Source organism: Homo sapiens, chromosome 11 (genome assembly GCF_000001405.40).
Source record: "Homo sapiens chromosome 11, GRCh38.p14 Primary Assembly".
Taxonomy (NCBI): domain Eukaryota; kingdom Metazoa; phylum Chordata; class Mammalia; order Primates; family Hominidae; genus Homo; species Homo sapiens.
The window spans coordinates 77,322,017-77,342,343 of NC_000011.10; the positions used below are offsets into that span (position 1 = coordinate 77,322,017).

Sequence of the window (20,327 nt, forward strand, 5' to 3'; positions counted from 1 at the left end):
GAATATTTTCATCTCCTTTTATTGACAGAAATAGAAATTTGTGCTGCAGAGGCAGTAGTACCTCAGAGCATGAGAAGGTAGTCAATGGGGCTGACATGACAAGCCACAATGCTGGCCAGGGGTCCTACCATAGTGGGAGAACCAAAACCACAAAAATAGCAGGAGGTAGCAAACATCCCCAACACCCAGTGTAAGCATTTCCATTTGCAGAGAGCTTGGCCATGCATCTTAAAAACGGGGTCCCCTCACAGCTGGCAGGGTATCATGTCAGGCCACCAAATCCATCCAGAACTAACATGCAGTCTCTAATTTGGAGACTCTTTATTGTGACCAAAAGATTTGGACCATTAGAAGATCCAAGTTAATCTTTCAGCTCCTTATCCTAGGCAGAAAAAGGGGCTGAGTTCCTGAAACATCACACAAGTAGAGCTGGACAGGTGCTGATGCCCAGCCTTGCTCTAAAAGTAGTCACCATTTTCCCCGACTTCTCAACACTGCTCTCACTCAGTATGTGCCCTAGAAAACCTCTCAATGTTATAAACAAGGGACAGGATAGGGGCAGCAGCCTAGGGTATGCAGGGAATCAAAAGCTGCTACATAGCCGAGAGCATTTCACAAGAAACAGCATGGGAACACTATTGGGTCAAGGTCCTCCCGAACAGCTGCTAGAAGCACACACAAAGAAAAATGTGGTTGTTCTCCCATGTCAGGATCAGCTGAGCCAAAGTCATGGTCCAGGAAGCTGAGCCTCTTCATGTCCCTGGCAGATTATCAAACCCCATGGCATTCCCAAGCTGTTCCAGTTTTCAAGTACAATGAGGTGTCTGGGCAGTTGAGTCACAGAAAAGCAAGCACTAAAGAAATCTCAATTGATTACAAATTGATAATATTATCAAACCATAAATTTATATAGTCAAGAATTAATTGTGGGAGATGGTTATGAAGGAGGTGAGGATTTTGACACACGGAAGACTAGAAACATTTATTTATATAAACCCTTAATCATAAACCACCCTCATATCCATGAATTGGGAGGAAATTCCTTATTTAGAAATGGCCATCATCTGATTAGTCATTCAGTTGCAGTTCTCTTCAATGCTGGACACACGGTTTCCAAGGATCAAAGTCTTGAGGAGTGCTAGATCAGGAAATGGGAGAAGCAAGGCAAGGAGAAGAGGGCATCAGGAGTTGGAATTTCTGAAATGTGCATTTATCTCACAGAAGGCTTGGCACAATGAGGCTGGGGTGAGTGTGGTTTTAGTGATTGTTCTTTGTTGCCTCCTTAGCTGCAGCAATCAGTGGAGTGAGGCTGGAGAGGGGCTTGGCAATCTTCAGGAATTGATGCTAGAAAGGAGAAAAATAGCAAAAGACACATGACTATTTAACATTCTTCCCCAGTAACCATTACAAGACATAAAGGCATCTTTGTTTGTAAAGGGTGCTGTGTGGAAAGCTTCTGATCATCCCCAAATTGAAGGACATCTTAAAACAGACCACTTTGGAAAACTGTTTGGCAGCATCTACTTACAGATAAATACATCTACCTATACTCTAGTAATTCCAATCCTAGGTATATTCCCAAGAGAAATTAGTTTGTATAGCCACCAAAAGACATACACAGAAATGTTCATAAAAGATTTGCTTATAATAGCCAATAACCAGAAAGAACCCAAATGTCCAAGAGAATGGAAAAATGAATAGTGTTATATTCATATAATACTATACAGAAAATTACACAGCAATACAATAAGTAATTGGTACACTGACAAATGGGTTGAATCTCACAGACACATTAAGGGAAAGAAGCCAGACAAGCAAGTTCATATTGTATTATTCCATTTCTTCCGAGGTAAGCCTAACCATGGTGATAATCAGAATAATAATTACCTCTGGGGAAGGTATTAATAGATCATGACCCAGTAGTATATCGCAATACTGCATTTTAGGAGCATTGATCTAGGAATTTATTGTTCTATCCTCAAATCCAATAATGCTAATCATTCAGTAAAAAGTTCAGTAGCTTGGTCCTTTCCCAAATCACTTTCACTGGGCTGTACTTTGGGCCATACCTTCAACATTTAATGACTATTTAGGAGAAAATATTATATGAAAATTGCATCTAAATTTTCAGTAAAACTGTTACAGAAAGCAATTCCTTTTTTTTTTTTTTTTTTGAGACGGAGTCTCACTCTGTTGCCCAGGCTGGAGTGCAGTGGTGCGGTCTCGGCTCACTGCAACCTCCGCCTCCTGGGTTCAAGCAATTCTCCTGCCTCAACCTCCCGAATAGCTGGGACTACAGGCGCCCGCCACCACACCTGGCTAATTTTTGTATTTTTAGTAGAGACGGGGTTTTGCCATACTGTCCAGGCTAGTCTCAAACTCCTGACCTCAACTGATCCACTGGCCTCAGCCTCGCGAAGTGCTGGGATAACAGGCATGAGCCACCGTGCCTGGTCTAACAATTCCTTATGTAATTCTCAGAGCCTCTTAAAAATGGTGCTTTTTTTTCTTTTTAAACATTTAGTAGTAAAAAAGCTTTGTGTCTTAAAGCTGTAGGATGTTCTTCTATTTGATAAAAAATATAGGAGCTATCACATTTCCTTTTCTGCCCTGGCTACCAGGAAATTGAGAACCAGATTTGACCTCTAAACATAACTACTCAACTCACATGAGCATATCTGATTCTTCTGCCATACTTACAATTCCCTTGATTAGTCATATTGTATATATGTATACACACACACACACACACACACACACAGAGAGAGAGAGAGACAGAGAGAGAGAGAGAAAGAGAAAGAGAGAGAAACATATATACTAATATTCTTTGCTGAGAATTGCTGCAACTTCTGTTGGGACAGAGATAGTATAAAGAGCTACTGAGAACAAGAACGTACTATTACTATGAAAGGAATAAAAGATCCTAGCTAAATCATGAAGATATGAATTCCAATATATATCATTCTATGTATTTCTGTCTATAAGTGTGTTCTCACAGGAGAAACAGATGTGAAGCTTTTATGATTTGTGATTCTCAAAGTCATGGTTTTCAATATTTACAATGTACACCAACAAGTTAAAAAGCCAGCTTTCTCAGATCACATGTTTCTGCAATTCCCCTAAGTTGAGAGCAGCATGATCCAACATCGAATTGGGAGGCCTCAGTTTCCTTCTCTGTCTAATAAACAAAACAGACTAGATGAGCCCTAAGGGCTTCCAGTTGTGATACTCTTTGAGCCTATTAAGAGCAGTGGCCAAGAGCATACACACTTGAGAGCCAAACAGGCTGAAATCCTGGATCTGCTACTTACCAGCTATCATGGAAAAGTTACTAAACACTTGAAACCTCAGTTTTCTCACCTGTAAAAATGAGAATAGAACCTATGACTCACAGAGTTGTTGTAAAGGACAATATATAAAGTGCTTAGTGCCTAAATATATAAAGTGTTTAGTGCCTAAAATATGGTAAAGATTCAATATAACCCATTTATTACTAGTTATATTACTATATCAGGAAGAAAACTTTAGAGGTCACTAACCTTTCAAGAACTATAATTTGGTATTTAATTAAGAATGGTATCTTTACTAATCGCAGGCTTAGCATATAGTATTTACACATTTCCCAGTGCCCACAGTTTCCAGAATACAACTCTCATGAACAGCAAAAGGGGTCCTACATTGTACTAAGAGACTTTTAGTTCCAACAGATACTAGAGACTAATGGGTTATACTTGGCAGAACCCAGATCTCATAACTAATAGGCCAGTATGCCATAATCAGTAACCTCAATTACAAAGACATGCTAAGTATGTTCCAGAGGGTGATATTCCAATGTGGGTTCTTCCAGTAATTTCATTCAATTCAATAAATATATTTTGAGTACCTATCCTGAGTCAAGTCCTAGGTAAAACATGAGACTCAGGGATTAACAAAATAGAGGTTATAATCCAATAGGAAAGAGATTCATAATTAACACAGGGCAGTATGCCCTGCCCTGCCCTGCCCTGCTCTGTCACTTCTGGGCTTCATAATACGAAAGCAAATGACAGTGCATGCCTTCATAAAGTTGCATGTGATACTTACTATTAGATCACTAGTGGGCAATACAATAAAAGAACACTAGTTATAAGAAATTGTACTTGAAACATATATGTTAAATACAAATGATGCGGCCTGCTAAAGGCAATTTTTGCAACCATATAAAATTATCAGGATTAGGCAGGCAGGAGTATAAAAGGCCTAGTAAACCCCTGACTCCGGGTTTCCCCACAAACTGGCAAAATCTCACTCTCAATAAGTAGAGTATCATTGCCATTATCTGAGGATTTCCAATGAATAAAGTGTAAAGACTCCAAAAGCCACACTCACTAATTATCTTCTAAACTTATGTTCCATGGATGGGCATGGTGGCTGATGCCATGCCTGTAATTCCAGCACTTTGGGAGACTGTGGTGGGCAGATCGTTTGAGCCCAGCCTGAGCAACATGGCAAAACCCTGTCTTTACAAAAAATAGAAAAATTAGGCAGGTATGGTGGTGCACGCCTATAGTCCCAGCTACTCTGGAGGCTGAAGTGGGAAGATCAGCAGAACCTGGGGAGGTTGAGGCTACAGTGAGCCATGATTGCGCCATGCACTCCAGCCTGGGCAACAGAGAGAGATCCTGTCTCGAAAAAACAGAGCAGAAAAACTGGAAACTCTAAAAATCAGAGCGCCTCTCCTCCTCCAAAGGAACGCAGCTCCTCACCAGCAACGGAACAAAGCTGGATGGAGAATGACTCTGACGAGTTGAAAGAAGGCCTCAGATGATCAGACTACTCTGAGCTACAGGAGGAAATTCGAATCAATGGCAAAGAAGTTAAAAGCTTTGAAAAAAAATAAGATGAATGGATAACAAGAATAATCAATGCAGACAAGTCCTTAAAGGACCTGATGGAGCTGAAAACCAAGGCACGAGAGCTACGTGACGAATGCAGAAGCCTCAGGAGCCGATGCGATCAACTGGAAGAAAGGGTATCAGTGATGGAAGACGAAATGAATGAAATGAAGCGAGAAGAGAAGTTTAGAGAAAAAAGAATAAAAAGAAACGAACAAAGCCTCCAAGAAATATGGGACTATGTGAAAAGGCCAAATCTACGTCTGATTGGTATACCTGAAAGTGACGGGGAGAATGGAACCAAGTTGGAAAACACTCTGCAGTATATTATCCAGGAGAACTTCCCCAATCTAGCAAGGCAGGCCAACATTCAAATTCAGGAAATACAGAGAATGCCACAAAGATACTCCTCGAGAAGAGCAACTCCAAGACACATAATTGTCAGATTCACCAAAGTTGAAATGAAGGAAAAAATGTTAAGGGCAGCCAGAGAGAAAGGTCGGGTTACCCACAAAGGGAAGCCCATCAGACTAAAAGCTGATCTCTCAGCAGAAACTCTACAAGCCAGAAGAGAGTGGGGGCCAATATTCAACATTCTTAAAGAAAAGAATTTTCAACCCAGAATTTCATATCCAGCCAAACTAAGCTTCATAAGTGAAGGAGAAATAAAATCCTTTACAGACAAGCAAATGCTGAGAGATTTTGTCACCACCAGGCCTGCCTTACAAGAGCTCCTGAAGGAAGCACTAAACATGGAAAGGAACAACCAGTACCAGCCACTGCAAAAACATGCCAAATTGTAAAGACCATCAAGGCTAGGAAGAAACTGCACCAACTAACGAGCAAAATAACCAGCTAACATCATAATGACAGGATCAAATTCACACATAACAATATTAACTTTAAACGTAAATGGGCTAAATGCTCCAATTAAAAGACACAGACTGGCAGACTGGATAAAGAGTCAGGACTCATCAGTGTGCTGTATTCAGGAAACCCATCTCACGTGCAGAGACACACATAGGCTCAAAATAAAGGGATGGAGGAAGATCTACCAAGCAAATGGAAACCAAAAGAAGGCAGGGATTGCAATCCTAGTCTCTGATAAAACAGACTTTAAACCAACAAAGATCAAAAGAGACAAAGAAGGCCATTACATAATGGTAAAGGGATCAATTCAACAACAAGAGCTAACTATCCTAAATATATATGCACCCAATACAGGAGCACCCAGATTCATAAAGCAAGTCCTTAGTGACCTACAAAGAGACTTAGACTCCAACACAATAATAATGGGAGACTTTAACACCCCACTGTCAACATTAGACAGATCAACGAGACAGAAAGTTAACAAGGATACCCAGGAATTGAACTCAGCTCTGCAACAAGAGGACCTAATAGACATCTACAGAACTCTCCACCCCAAATCAACAGAATATACATTCTTTTCAGCACCACACCACACCTACTCCAAAATTGACCACATAGTTGGAAGTAAAGCACTCCTCAGCAAATGTAAAAGAACAGAAATTATAACAAACTGTCTCTCAGACCACAGTGCAATCAAACTAGAACTCAGGATTAAGAAACTCACTCAAAACTGCTCAACTACATGGAAACTGAACAACCTGCTCCCGAATGACTACTGGGTAAATAATGAAATGAAGGCAGAAATAAAGATGTTCTTTGAAACCAACGAGAACAAAGACAACATACCAGAATCTCTGGGACACATTCAAAGCAGTGTGTAGAGGGAAATGTATAGCACTAAATGCCCACAAGAGAAAGCAGGAAAGATCTAAAATTGACACCCTTACATCACAATTAAAAGAACTAGAAAAGCAAGAGCAAACACATTCAAAAGCTAGCAGAAGGCAAGAAATAACTAAGATCAGAGCAGAACTGAAGGAAATAGAGACACAAAAAACCCTTCAAAAAATTAATGAATCCAGGAGCTGGTTTTTTGAAAGGATCAACAAAATTGATAGACCGCTAGCAAGACTAATAAAGAAGAAAAGAGAGAAGAATCAAATAGACGCAATCAAAAATGATAAAGGGGAGATCACCACCGATCCCACAGAAATACAAACTACCATCAGAGAATACTATAAACACCTCTATGCAAATCAACTAGAAAATCTAGAAGAAATGGATAAATTCCTCGACACATACATCCTCCCAAGACTAAACCAGGAAGAAGCTGAATCTCTGAATAGACCAATAACAGGATCTGAAATTGAGGCAATAATCAATAGCTTACCAACCAAAAAGAGTCCAGGACCAGATGGATTCACAGCCGAATTGTACCAGAGGTACAAGGAGGAAATGGTACCATTCCTTCTGAAACTATTCCAATCAACAGAAAAAGAGGGAATCCTCCCTAACTCATTTTATGAGGCCAGCATCATCCTGATACCAAAGCCTGGCAGAGACACAACAAAAAAAGAGAATTTTAGCCAATATCCTTGATGAACATCGATGCAAAAATCCTCAGTAAAATACTGGCAAACCGAATCCAGCAGCACATCAAAAAGCTTATCCGCCATGATCAAGTGGGCTTCATCCCTGGGATGCAAAGCCAGTTCAACATACGCAAATCAATAAATGTAATCCAAGGTATAAACAGAACTAAAGACAAAAACCACATGATTATCTCAATAGATGCAGAAAAGGCCTTTGACAAAATTCAACAACCCTTCATGCTAAACACTCTCAATAAATTAGGTATTGATGGGACATATCTCAAAATAATAAGAGCTATCTATGACAAACCCACAGCCAATATCATACTGAATGGGCAAAAACTGGAAGCATTCCCTTTGAAAACTGGCACAAGACAGGGATGCCCTCTCTCACCACTCCTATTCAACATAGTGTTGGAAGTTCTGGCCAGGGCAATCAGGCAGGAGAAGGAAATAAAGGGCATTCAATTAGGAAAAAAAGAAGTCAAATTGTCCCTGTTTGCAGATGACATGATTGTATATTTAGAAAACCCCATCATCTCAGCCCAAAATCTCCTCAAGCTGATAAGCAACTTCAGCTAAGTCTCAGGATACAAAATCAATGTACAAAAATCACAAGCATTCTTATACACCAATGACAGACAAACAGAGAGCCAAATCATGAGTGAACTCCCATTCACAATTGCTTCAAAGAGAATAAAATACCTAGGAATCCAACTTACAAGAGATGTGAAGGACCTCTTCAAGGAGAACTACAAACCACTGCTCAATGAAATAAAAGAGGATACAAACAAATGGAAGAACGTTCCATACTCGTGGGTAGGAAGAATCAATATCGTGAAAATGGCCATACTGCCCAAGGTAATTTATAGATTCAATGCCATCCCCATCAAGCTACCAATGACTTTCTTCACAGAATTGGAAAAAACTACTTTAAAGTTCATATGGAACCAAAAAAGAGCCCGCATCGCCGAGTCAATCCTAAGCCCAAAGAACAAAGCTGGAGGCATCACACTACCTGACTTCAAACTATACTACAAGGCTACAGTAACCAAAACAGCATGGTACTGGTACCAAAACAGAGATATAGACCAATGGAGCAGAACAGAGCCCTCAGAAATAACGCCGCATATCTACAACTATCTGATCTTTGACAAACGTGACAAAAACAAGCAATGGGGAAAGGATTCCCTATTTAATAAATGGTGCTGGGAAAACTGGCTAGCCATATGTAGAAAGCTGAAACTGGATCCCTTCCTTACACCTTATACAAAAATTAATTCAAGATGGATTAGAGACTTAAATGTTAGACCTAAAATGATAAAAACCCTAGAAGAAAACCTAGGCAATACCATTCAGGACATAGGCATGGGCAAGGACTTCATGTCTAAAACACCAAAAGCAATGGCAACAAAAGCCAAAATTGACAAATGGGATCTAATTAAACTAAAGAGCTTCTGCACAGCAAAAGAAACCACCATCAGAGTGAACAGGCAACCTACAGGATGGGAGAAAATTTTTGCAACCTACTCATCTGACAAAGGGCTAATATCCAGAATCTACAACGAACTCAAACAAATTTACAAGAAAAAAACAAACAACCCCATCAAAAAGTGGGCGAAGGATATGAACAGACACTTCTCAAAAGAAGACATTTACATAGCCAAAAAACACATAAAAAATGCTCATCATCACTGGCCATCAGGGAAATGCAAATCAAAACCACAATGAGATACCATCTCACACCAGTTAGAATGGCGATCATTAAAAAGTCAGGAAACAACACGTGCTGGAGAGGATGTGGAGAAATACGAACACTTTTACACTGTTGGTGGGAGTGTAAACTAGTTCAACCATTGTGGAAGTCAGTGTGGCAATTCCTCAGGGATCTAGAACTAGAAATACCATTTGACCCAGCCATCCCATTACTGGGTATATACCCAAAGGATTATAAATCATGCTGCTGTAAAGACACATGCACACGTATGTTTATAGTGGCACTATTCACAACAGCAAAGACTTGGAACCAACCTAAATGTCCAACAACGATAGACTGGATTAAGAAAATGTGGCACATATACACCATGGAATACTATGCAGCCATAAAAAATGATGAGTTCATGTCCTTTGTAGGGACATGGATGAAACTGGAAACCATCATTCTCAGCAAACTATTGCAAGGACAAAAAACCAAACACTGCATGTTCTCACTCATAGGTAGGAAATGAACAATGAGAACACATGGACACAGGAAGGGGAACATCACACACCCGGGACTGTTGTGGGGTCAGGGGAGGGTGGAGGGATAGCATTAAGAGATATACCTAATGCTAAATGACGAGTTAATGGGTACAGCACACCAACATGGTACATGTATACATATGTAACAAACCTGCACGTTGTGCACATGTACCCTAAAACTTAAAAGTATAATAATAATAAAATGTAAAAAAAAAAGAATTAAAAAAAAAGAAAGAAAAATAAAACATAAATAAAATAAAATAAACTTATGTTCCTTTGCTAAAAATGTATCCTTTGAGCTAATCCCAGCAAAATATAAGTTGTGTAAGATTTGGGTGTCAGAGACCCGTTTCTCAACAAGACTCAAACAAACTCTGCCAGACTAATTCAAACAGAACAAAGGAAGTGCTAATGAAAGATACAAGCAGGCTGGTCATGGTGGCCCATGCCTGTAGTCCCAGCACTTTGGGAAAGCGAAGTGCGCAGATCGCTTGAACCCAGGAATTTGAGACCATGCACGGCCAACATAGCAAAACCCCGTCTCTACAAAAAAGTTTTTAAAAAACTAGCCAGGTATGGTGGCGTGCACCTGTAGTCTGAGCTACCTGGGAGGCTGAGGTGGGAAGATCACTTGAGTGAACCCAGGAGAGGAAGACTGCAGTGAGACAAAATCACGCCATTGCACACTCCTGCCTGGGTGACAGAGTGAGACCCTGTGGGGCGTGAGAGGAAGGGGGAGAGGGAAGAGGGGGGGGAAAGGGAAGGGAAGGGAAAGGAAGGGAAGGGAAGGGAAGGGAAGGGAAGGGAAAGGAAGGGAAGGAAAGGGAAAGGAAGAAGAAAGGAAAGGAAGGAAGGAAGCAAGCAAAAAAGCTACAAGCAAAGCTCAATAGGTGCTCAGAAAATAGATTGTAAACTGAGCCTAGGAGAACGTGTAGAGTTTTAACAGGCTGAGAAAGGCTAAGAAAATAAATGAGCAAAGGCCCAGGGATAAAAGGGCAGTAGGAACAGAGTGAGTGTAGGAAGTGGTAGAAGAGAAGCCTAGTTCTATAATATCCAGTACCTTACAAACATGAAGTAAAAAAGGCCTGGTTTAGTGATTCCCTGAATTAGGTGCTTCCCTGCATAAGGACAGTTACCTGTAGCAGCTCTTTAGCTGAACCTCTCTTCTCCACATCCATCTCGAGACAGCGGTTCAGAAAGTCCCGGAAGATAGCTGACAGCTTCTCTGGGTTCTGAAGTTCTGGGGTCCCATTGGTGGCAATGAGGTACAAGGCCTGGCAATAAAAATGGTGAATCACCTTGAGCTCCAAATGAGGCTCTCTCTTGTTCCCCATATACAAGTTCTAGAAATATGGTCAGCTGCTTTATGCTCTAGGATGCAAAGTAGCAGCTGTGTATATATACTGGAAAGAGTATGACCTAAGGATCAGGTTGAACATTTAAAGGCCATGGGACTATGTACAACTTCCCTGTCTGTAAAGTAGGGATGATGATAATGCCCATCTCACATGTCTGTAAAAATAAAATAAGATAGTGTATTTGAAAGTACTTTGTAAACTTATGAAATATGTTACAGACCTAAGGGTTTATTCTTCTTCTTCTTTTTTTTTTTTTTTTTTTTTGAGATGGAGTCTTGCTCTGTCGCCCAGGCTGGAGTGCAGTGGCACGATCTTGGCTCACTGCAACCTCCACCTCCCAGGTTCAAGCAATTCTCCTGACTCAGCCTCCCAAGTAGCTGGGATTACAGGCACCAGCCACTACACCCGACTGCTTTTCGTATTTTCAGTAGAGACGGGGTTTTACCATGTTGGCCTGGCTGGTCTCAAACTCCTAGACTCAAGTGATCCTCCTGCCTCAACCTCCCAAAGTGCTGGGATTACAGGCGTGAGTCACTGTGCCTGGCTTTATTATTATTCTTGCTTACACATCTGAAGGGTTTATTATCCATTTAGCCTGTTGAGTTAAACATCTGCCCAGCTGCTGGCAGAAATTATTCCTGGTGCCTTCACCTCAGTCATCCAAGAACTGATCTCTTCTAGCAGGAAAGGAATATTAAATGTAAGTGAAAACTGTTGCCACCCTAGTCCCCTAAATGAAGCGTCTCCTGGGAAAGGTAAAGAAAAACAGTAAGACTAAATCTTTACAAGCACTCAGCACTTAATTCAAAGAGTACTTACATAAGCACTGTCTAATTTAATGGCCACAATTAACTCTGGGTAATAGGGCAAGACTTATCATCTTCACTTCACAGATAGGGTCCGGAAACATAAAAAGATATGTCTAGGGCCGGGCGTGGTGGCTCACTCCTGTAATCCCAGCACTTTGGGAGGCTGAGGTGGGTGGATCACCTGAGGTCAGGAGTTCGAGACCATCGAGAACAGCCTGACCAATATGGCGAAATGTGGTCTCTACTAAAAATACAAAACTTAGCTGGGCATGGTGGCAGGTGCCTGTAATCCCAGCTACTCAGGAGGCTGAGGCAGGAGAATCGCTTGAACCTGGGAGGTGGAGGTTGCGGTGAGCTGAGATCACACCATTGCACTCCAGCCTAGGTGACAGAGTGAGACTCCATCTCAAAAAAAAAAATAAAATAAAAATAAAAAAATAAAAAAATATGCCTATGTCTAGGATCATTCTGTCTTATTTCCAACATATCCCAGCAATTATCATCTTCAAATATCTGCAAGGCCGTTCTAAGGGAGGGAAGAGTATGTTGTATGTGGAGTCAGAGGCAAAGCTGGGATCAAAGGATAGAAACTACAGAAGGTAGTTTCAGTTTGGTGCACTGAAGCAATTTCCAATAATCAGAGATATTCAAGGATGACATGAGCATGTAGATGACCACCTACCAGCAACAGTGCACAGGGAATTCCTGCACTGGATGGGAGGTGGGAATAAATGAGAAAATAAAAGCAATCAGAATAAATTTCACATTTGCCCACACCAAGATTACCAACCTATTTGCACCTGTGTTGAGATGCTCTGTTACAAGGGATAAATTGTCCATGCTAATCTAATGTCCTTTACTTCAGTACTTGATCGAACCCCTCTCATCGACTTAAGGATATCACTTCTATGGTTGTCACTTCCTTCTTGTACATGACCATTTTCCTCCTCTCCACTAAATCATTCCCATTAGCACACAGACATCATCTTTTAGAAAAACCCTCCCTTGACTCCATTTTAAGATAGTGCTCCATTTTTGTTACCCTTCCCAGCAAAATTCCTTTAAGAGAAAAAAAAACCTGTTTATACATGCCATCTCAATGTCCTCTTCTTCCACTTTCATGAATTTAATTAGACTTTCATCCCCATCTCTCTACTGATAACTGATTATTAAGGTCATTAAGAACCTCTACATTGGCAAATCCAATGTTCATTTCTCAGTCTCATCTTAACCTATCAATCACATTTGACACATAATCTACCCTCCTCCTCCTTCGGGAAGCACACTGTTCTCTTCATCTCCAGGACACTTCACCTCCAAGACACTTCTCTGTTCTCTCACACTAGAAAGGCCACTCCTTGGTCTACTTTGCTAGTTCTTCCAACCTGTAAACAGTGGAATAACCTAGAGCTCAGTACTCAAATCTCTTTTCTTTAACTGTACTCATTCCCTAGGTGAGTGATCTCATCTACCTACTATATATACCAACTATATATTATCTACTAATAAATTTATGTTTATAGTCCTGACTTCTCACCCTTGAACTCCAGACTCTTAAGCCAAACTCTACTCCAGCTCCACTTAAATGTCCAATTAACACTTCAAATCAGCACATTCAAAACCAACTCTTTATTACCCAACTTAAGTATGCTCTTCACCATTTCAACAGATGGCAACTGAATTTTTTCAGCAATTCAGACCAGAAATCTTGTAGTCATTGCTGATTCCTCTTTCTCTAATATTCAGTTCATCTTGTCAGCTAGTCCTTTAATTTCCTGAATCTGACCACTTCTCACTTCCACTCCTACCAAGACACCACCACTCTGAACTATTACAACAGTCTCTCGCAGTCTATTTTCCATAAAAGCGGCCAAAATGATCTGTTTAAAACATAAATCAGATCACATTACTCCTCAGCTCAAAACCCTCTAATGACTTCCCAACTCTGCAGAATAAAATAACTTATAAGAGAGAACTTCCCTCTCTACTCTAAAATAGCACACCTGTTCCTCCATTACTCTGTTAACTCCCTTACTTTGCTTTTTCTCACAGCATTTACCATCTGTTACTACATATTAATTTATTTTATTTTCATTAGAATAGTTTCTTGCACTTGACAGGGACTCAAATAATTGTTGAATAAATGAATGAGTGACTTCTAATATTCCTTTTCTTTGGCCATTTATACTTTAAGTTCAACAGTGACTAGTTGTATCCAGAAAAGGGATCTCCAGGTTGAAAACCACAGAGAACACCCTGGATTCTTATTTCCTGGGACTAGAGACAACAGCCCAAATAACTTGAAATAGAACTGGTAACACTCACTCTCAGAGGGTTTTCATTGAGGTATGGAGGCTCCCCTTCAATCATTTCGATGGCCATGATGCCCAGGGACCAGATGTCAACCTTGGGCCCATAGGCCTTTCGTGTCACAACCTCTGGTGCCATCCAGTATGGGGTTCCTACCATGGTGCTCCGTTTGCTCTGCTCTGGGGTTATCTGTGCACAGAATCCAAAGTCAGCTAGAAAAGAAAAATAAGAGAAAGAACATACATTTAGGATATACACTCACTTCAGTAAGTGTTGACTGTGTACCTACACATAGGTGACAAGATCCGCCTGGCTTCCAGCTCTGCTATCCTTTGTCTCTCCAAAGTCACTTGACTACCACCTTCATGTCTAGCTCCTAGCCTATTTCCTATTGAACCCTGAAGAGAAATAGAAGGAATATAAGAAACACCATCTCTGGCCTCCTACTTCTCCTCAAACCAGGGGACTTAGTGTTAAAGTCCAAGCTGCCCATTTTGGTCTTGATTGCTCATCCCAATTCTGCTTTGTTCTTGAAAAACCATTCCCATAATCCCAAATCTGGCGACTAGGTCCTTGTCTTATTCCTTGGGCACGAGTCCTTGATTTAAACCCCAATCACCTATGACTAGGCATGGCCCTGTTTTTATGCCCCAGACCCAGGGCTGCTAGCAGTCCTTCCATAAACTGCCCATCCACCCATGACACAGCCTGTTTGTCTGGTCTACTGGTCTTTACACCTTTGAACAAAATGCTCTACCTGCCATGGTTTTTACATTATATTGCAATTATAAATTTATTTAAATTAGGAAGCCTTTGAGAGTATGGATTATGTCCTCTTACTTGTCCTCATATCCCTAGAAGGACCAGCATGTACTGGACATTCAATAAAAGTTTGCTGAATAACTGAATGAAAGAAATTATACAAAACTCTTTTTTCTAATTATCTATTACACGTTTTCCATACTAGATTGAGAAGGTAGGGAAAATTTACTCTCAGTGCCCATCACAGGACCTAGCACAGAGTAACCATTCAGCAAAGTTTTTTGTGGTTGTTGTTAAATGTATAAATGAATGAAAAAATAATGAAATGATATCCTATGATTAATACAGAAAATATAAAACAGCCCTCATATCCCATGAAATCATAAAGACCCTTTGGTGAGTGTCGTAGTTACTATTATATGATGACCATCTCACAGGAGACAGGGCCCCACAGGCAGAGAAGTATTATCATTCCTAAGGCTCCTACTTACTTAGCTTGACAGAGCCATCCATTCCCAACAGAATATTGTCACTCTTGATGTCTCTGTGAATGACCTGGTTCGAATGCAAGAACTCCAGAGCCTGCAGACACTATTGAAGTGGTGTGGGCAGGGGGAGAAAGAAAGGACATACATATAATACAGAAGACTTAATAGAAAATCCACTAATTCAACCTCTTCACTTTAAAATAAAGGAAGTAAGGCCCCAGTGAGTAAAAGGACTTGCCCCAAATCAATCGCAGAGCCAGATCTAGAAACAAGTCTTCCATCTCCTAGCTAAACATTCTTTTAACACTCCATGCTGCCTTTCACCTTAAAACAGTTTTTTTAAGTAAAGGAGTTCCTCCAATGTAATTTTTTTTCTAATTAGATCCTTGGTAAAGGACCTAAGGCCCAAGAGAAATTACTGAAGAAAAATGGAAAGGATCTTATAATGACAGACCAGAGGAAAACAACAAATAAGGGTCATATTTGAGGAAGCAGACATATGGAAGTGATACTAGAAGCAGTAAGTTAGCAGGATAATCTTATTTTGGTGAGGAGATATTTTGTACTATTTTGGATATGCTGAATTTGATATCTGAAGACAAATGTCTGGTAGGCAACTTAATTTATGATAAATTATGGTAAATATTTACAAGTCATTTGGGAAGAGATGATTTTTGTTTAAGTTATAAAAATGGTTGAACCCGGCAAAGGGTAAAGGAGAAAGAGAAGAATCTTGGAAAACACCTATACTTAGCAGGCAGAATGAGTAATAAAGAGACACAATGGTACAATTAAAATGCCTGGTTCTGCTGCTACCCCATTGACTATATAATTCTGGACTTCCATCTATAAAATTTGGGAATCAGATGAGATCATCTCAGCTTTTCTACTAAATCAATAATTTGATTTCATTGACCCAAAACTAATTTTTTAGAAACTTCTACCAATTAAAAAACACTAAAGATATAAGTGAACAGGAAAATACTATTTAAATGGTCCTAACCTAATACTTTACTTTCTAAGAATATACCAATGGCTAAAGTAAGAATAAAACAATATCCAGAATTGGATTTTCCCTGAAAATGTAAGAGCTGCTCTTCTTAGAAGGGTGGAGAAACAGGTCTCAGGATGTCAGAAATTATGATGAAAAAGAATTATCTTGAGAAACTGGAACCCTCATACATTGCTGGCAGGAACGTAAAACAGTACAGCTACTACGGAAACAGTTTGGCAGTTCCTCAAAAGTTGAGTATAGAGTTGCCATATGACCAGCAATCCACCTGTAGTTATATATCCAAGAGAATGAGAACATACCTCCACACAAAAACTGGTATATAAGTGTTCATAGAGTAATTTTTTATTTTTTATAACAGCCGAAAACAGAAACAACCCAAATGTCCATTCTATTACTTGGCAATAAAAAGGAATGAGGTACTGATACATGCTACAAAATGGATGAATCTTTGAAACATAATGCTAGCTAAGTAAAAGAAGCCAATTACAAAAGAGCAAATATTACATGATTCCATTTATATAAAATGCCCAGTACAGGGAAACTACAGAGGTAGAAAATAGATTAGTGGTTACATAGGGCTGGGAGAGTCAGGGCAGGGGACATGGGGAGTGACTGTTAATGGATATTAATTTCCTCTTTGGGGTGATAAAAAGGATCTAAAATTCATTATGATGGTGGCTGTACAACTCTATGAATATACTAAAAACTAGTGAATTATATACTCTAAATGGGTGAATTATATCTCAATAAAGATTTTTTAAAAGGAGAAGATGATCTCTATTAGAACTGAAGAATAGTAATACCATCTATTATACAACATTAACATTTTTTTCCAAGTGCTTTTTGATCCATATAGCACCCCTAAGGTATATATAGTGTGAATGTTGCAATTTCCATTTTACAGATTAATAATGAGGCAAAATGATTTCCCAAAGTATACATATGCATGTATTCTCAACTAGTGAAACTTCGTTCCTGAGGGTAAGGGGGTGGGGTGAAAAAAATCTTAGGTATTACAATGGTTTATGACCCAAACAGCTTAGCTATATATCTGTGATATTACAATTTCATGGCAGGGAGTATGATTAGGAAAAAGCCTCCTTAAGAAGGAGATAATGAAAAGAAGGTTACGAAATACTGCATTAGTAGTGGAACAAAAAAAAAAGTCAGAACCCCTAAGAATCCCAGCCTGGTATTAATTCCATTAATTAATTCCAATTACTTGTGAACATTCTAGATCCCAAAGTTGTTTGCAAAGGGGACCATTATTTTCTAGGGCAGTATTGATTTCACATTTTATTTTTCTTAACACTGATTAAATATATAACTACATAATTTCAGCAGTATGCCTTCAGCTCTTGCACCATCAAACCCCCATCATACTATTATACTCATCTCCACAAAATTCTGAACCTCATCTCATCTTCTATGCTTCCCCTAATTTCCTAACTTTTCTACTAGGTTGGTGCAAAAGCAATTGTGGTTTTGGTATTTTTTTTTTTTTAAGTAATGGCAAAAACCGCAATTACTTTTGCATTATTGGGCCATCAGAAAGTCCAGTCTGTCATCAGCAAAACACCCAATATCCTCAATGTCTCTGAATATTCCCTTCATCTTTTTGCTCTAATGGAAATGAAATGTGGTTATTCCCTGAGGACACTGTCCAGGCTTTCTGGAGGGCTTTTCTTCCTCCTACATCAGCGTATTATCAATTCTAGACATTTAATAGCAATGAGGAGAAAGGGAGTATCTATTTGAGCTTTGTTTTCTTTTTTTATTTTCCTGGAAGTATTTTACCCTAGATTTTTGCTGGCTTGCTTTTATATATCATTCAGATGTTTACTCAAATCTATAGCAAAACCTTCCCTGACTGTCTTGTCTAAAATAGTACTTCCTCCATCACTACCTTCTTACTCTGTTTTATTTTCCTTATAGCACATAAATAAAGCAAGAAAGCAGAATAAAAATGATTGAAATATATGCCCAGATAAAAGAGATAAAGGAATATATTATAACGTGCTTAGGCAAGTGGTTATCTCTAAGACTGGAATTATGAGTGACTTTTTACAATATATACTTTCTAGTACTTTATAATTTTTCTACAATGGGTAGAATAAAGTTATCGTTAAAAAAAAAATCATGGTGATAGAAATGACAAACACAGGTACAATACAGGAATGATAGCAGTGTCAGCACTAATTTCTACCAATTCCACAGAGCCCAGGCTGAGATCTCACTGTACAGGGAACTTCAGGAGACAGGAATATGGAGGCAGCTTTCTACCCAAGACTGCTTGGCCCTTGGCCTTACCTCACGGCACACAGCTGCAATTTGGCCTTCATCCATGCAAGTTTCTGTCACCACATCTGTCAAGGAGCCTCCAGCCAAGTATTCCATAACAACCCACAGCTCATCTCCCACGAGGTAACTGCAGGAATACAGATAAAGGGTGAGAGAGAACAATCAGAGTACACTGAGCCATAGCACTGGGTTTCAAAGGCTAAGCATATACACAGAGTGAAACTACGTCTTAGCACAAAGTAAAGTAAAAGGTTCTTTACTTTGGGGAAAAGCAGAATCTGGGGAACAGAATCACTAACTTTGAATCTCTCAAGGATGCTCCTGGAGAAAACCAAGTATACATGTTCTGTGAAGCCCCAAAGGGCAGAACTAAGATCTCTAGCTTGAAGTGATACAATAAAATTATATTTCATCACAACACAAAGGAAGACATCCTAAAATTAGAAAGACTGACATGATTCCCACACCTCTAGAAGCATCCAAACATTTGACAAAGATAGGATTTAGAGTCCATGTTACCCAAAGAAGAGAGAGCTACTAAACCTCCCAGAGAGTCCTACCAGATCTGAGATCTATGAGACCAAGTATTGGGTCTTGTTCAAGACTCTATCCTCAGAGTCCAGCACAGCAGATGCCAATATTTACTAAATAAATCACTGAAAAAATAAAAGATAACTATAAATATTAAACGAAATAATGTTTATAGGAGCCCCTTAAAAGCTGCAAAGTGTTGTATACATAGTCATTATGCTGACAATTGACCTCTACTTTGAGTGTCTGTGGTTCAAGAATGGAATGAATTTAGCAAGGGCTTATGGAGCCAAAGCCTTCTGATAAGCCAAGACTACCATTTAGTAAGATATCCCCAGAGAGATTATGGGCTGACATGAGTTAGAAGTGATAGTTTCACTCAGGAGTTGGATCACTCAACCCTATTACACGATAAATAAAAAGGTCACTTAGCCTATTTGGTCAATGTTTCCTTACTATAGAATCAGACAAATAAAAACAAGGCGAGCCTAGAGCCCTAAAGTCTTCTGCCAGTCTTGGACAAAGAAGCTGGATTGGAAAAAAACATTTCTTGCATTGGCTTGAACTGTGTGGTATCATCTTATCTTCATCCTGATATTGGGAATACTGCTGGACAGATGTGGAGACTGTTGGAAGATTTTAACAAATGCAATCAAGCAAGGGTAAGATTTGAATCCTATTTTTTTGACTACTAATCGACAGCTCTTTCCATAAAACTCTGTGTTCTGATTTATAATTTTTTAATGTCCTGACTAATAAACATGACAGACTAAGTGTTTCTTCAACAATCTCTTTTGAGAGAGAAGACTATGGGGATTTGAACTGCTATGGTCTGAATGTTTGTGTCCCTCAAAATTTATATGTTGAAAATCTAATCACTAATGTTATTAGGAGGTGGGGCCTTTGGAAGGTGATTACATCATGAGGGTTCTGCCCATGAGTTCATCCATATGTGATGGAGTTCCCCTCTGGGACATCTCACAAAAACCACAGACCCTCATTTGCAACACCTTCACTGAATGCTCAGGTTAATGTCCTCTTCCATGACCTTACAGAGGTATTTTTTTTTTTTCTATACCAGACCAGGAACTATTTGAGGGCAAAGATAGCATTATTTACTTCTAATTTCCAGAGTAAAAGTCTCTGGGAATACTGGTAAAGATATGATTAATAAAC

At 39.5% G+C, this 20,327-nt stretch overlaps 1 protein-coding gene across 50 annotated transcripts in view; it reads right to left on the reverse strand.

Annotated features, from left to right (window-relative positions):
- The window catches only part of PAK1 (p21 (RAC1) activated kinase 1), a 207,993-nt gene continuing 187,666 nt past the window's right edge, over positions 1-20,327 (reverse strand). For 26 of the 50 annotated variants that reach the window (XM_024448560.2, XM_047427054.1, NM_001376304.1 and 23 more), the window contains 5 exons: positions 18,630-18,747; positions 15,308-15,407; positions 14,070-14,266; positions 10,714-10,851; positions 1-1,344 (listed from right to left, as the gene is read on the reverse strand). In XM_024448560.2, the coding sequence (XP_024304328.1) occupies positions 1,258-1,344; positions 10,714-10,851; positions 14,070-14,266; positions 15,308-15,407; positions 18,630-18,747 (640 nt within the window). In that variant the 3' untranslated portion in view covers positions 1-1,257. Of the gene's footprint in view, positions 1,345-3,311; positions 3,361-7,134; positions 7,297-10,713; positions 10,852-14,069; positions 14,267-15,307; positions 15,408-18,629; positions 18,748-20,327 lie in introns of all 50 variants that reach the window. The other 24 variants (XM_047427049.1, NM_001376268.1, NM_001128620.2 and 21 more) reach the window with 7 other exon arrangements.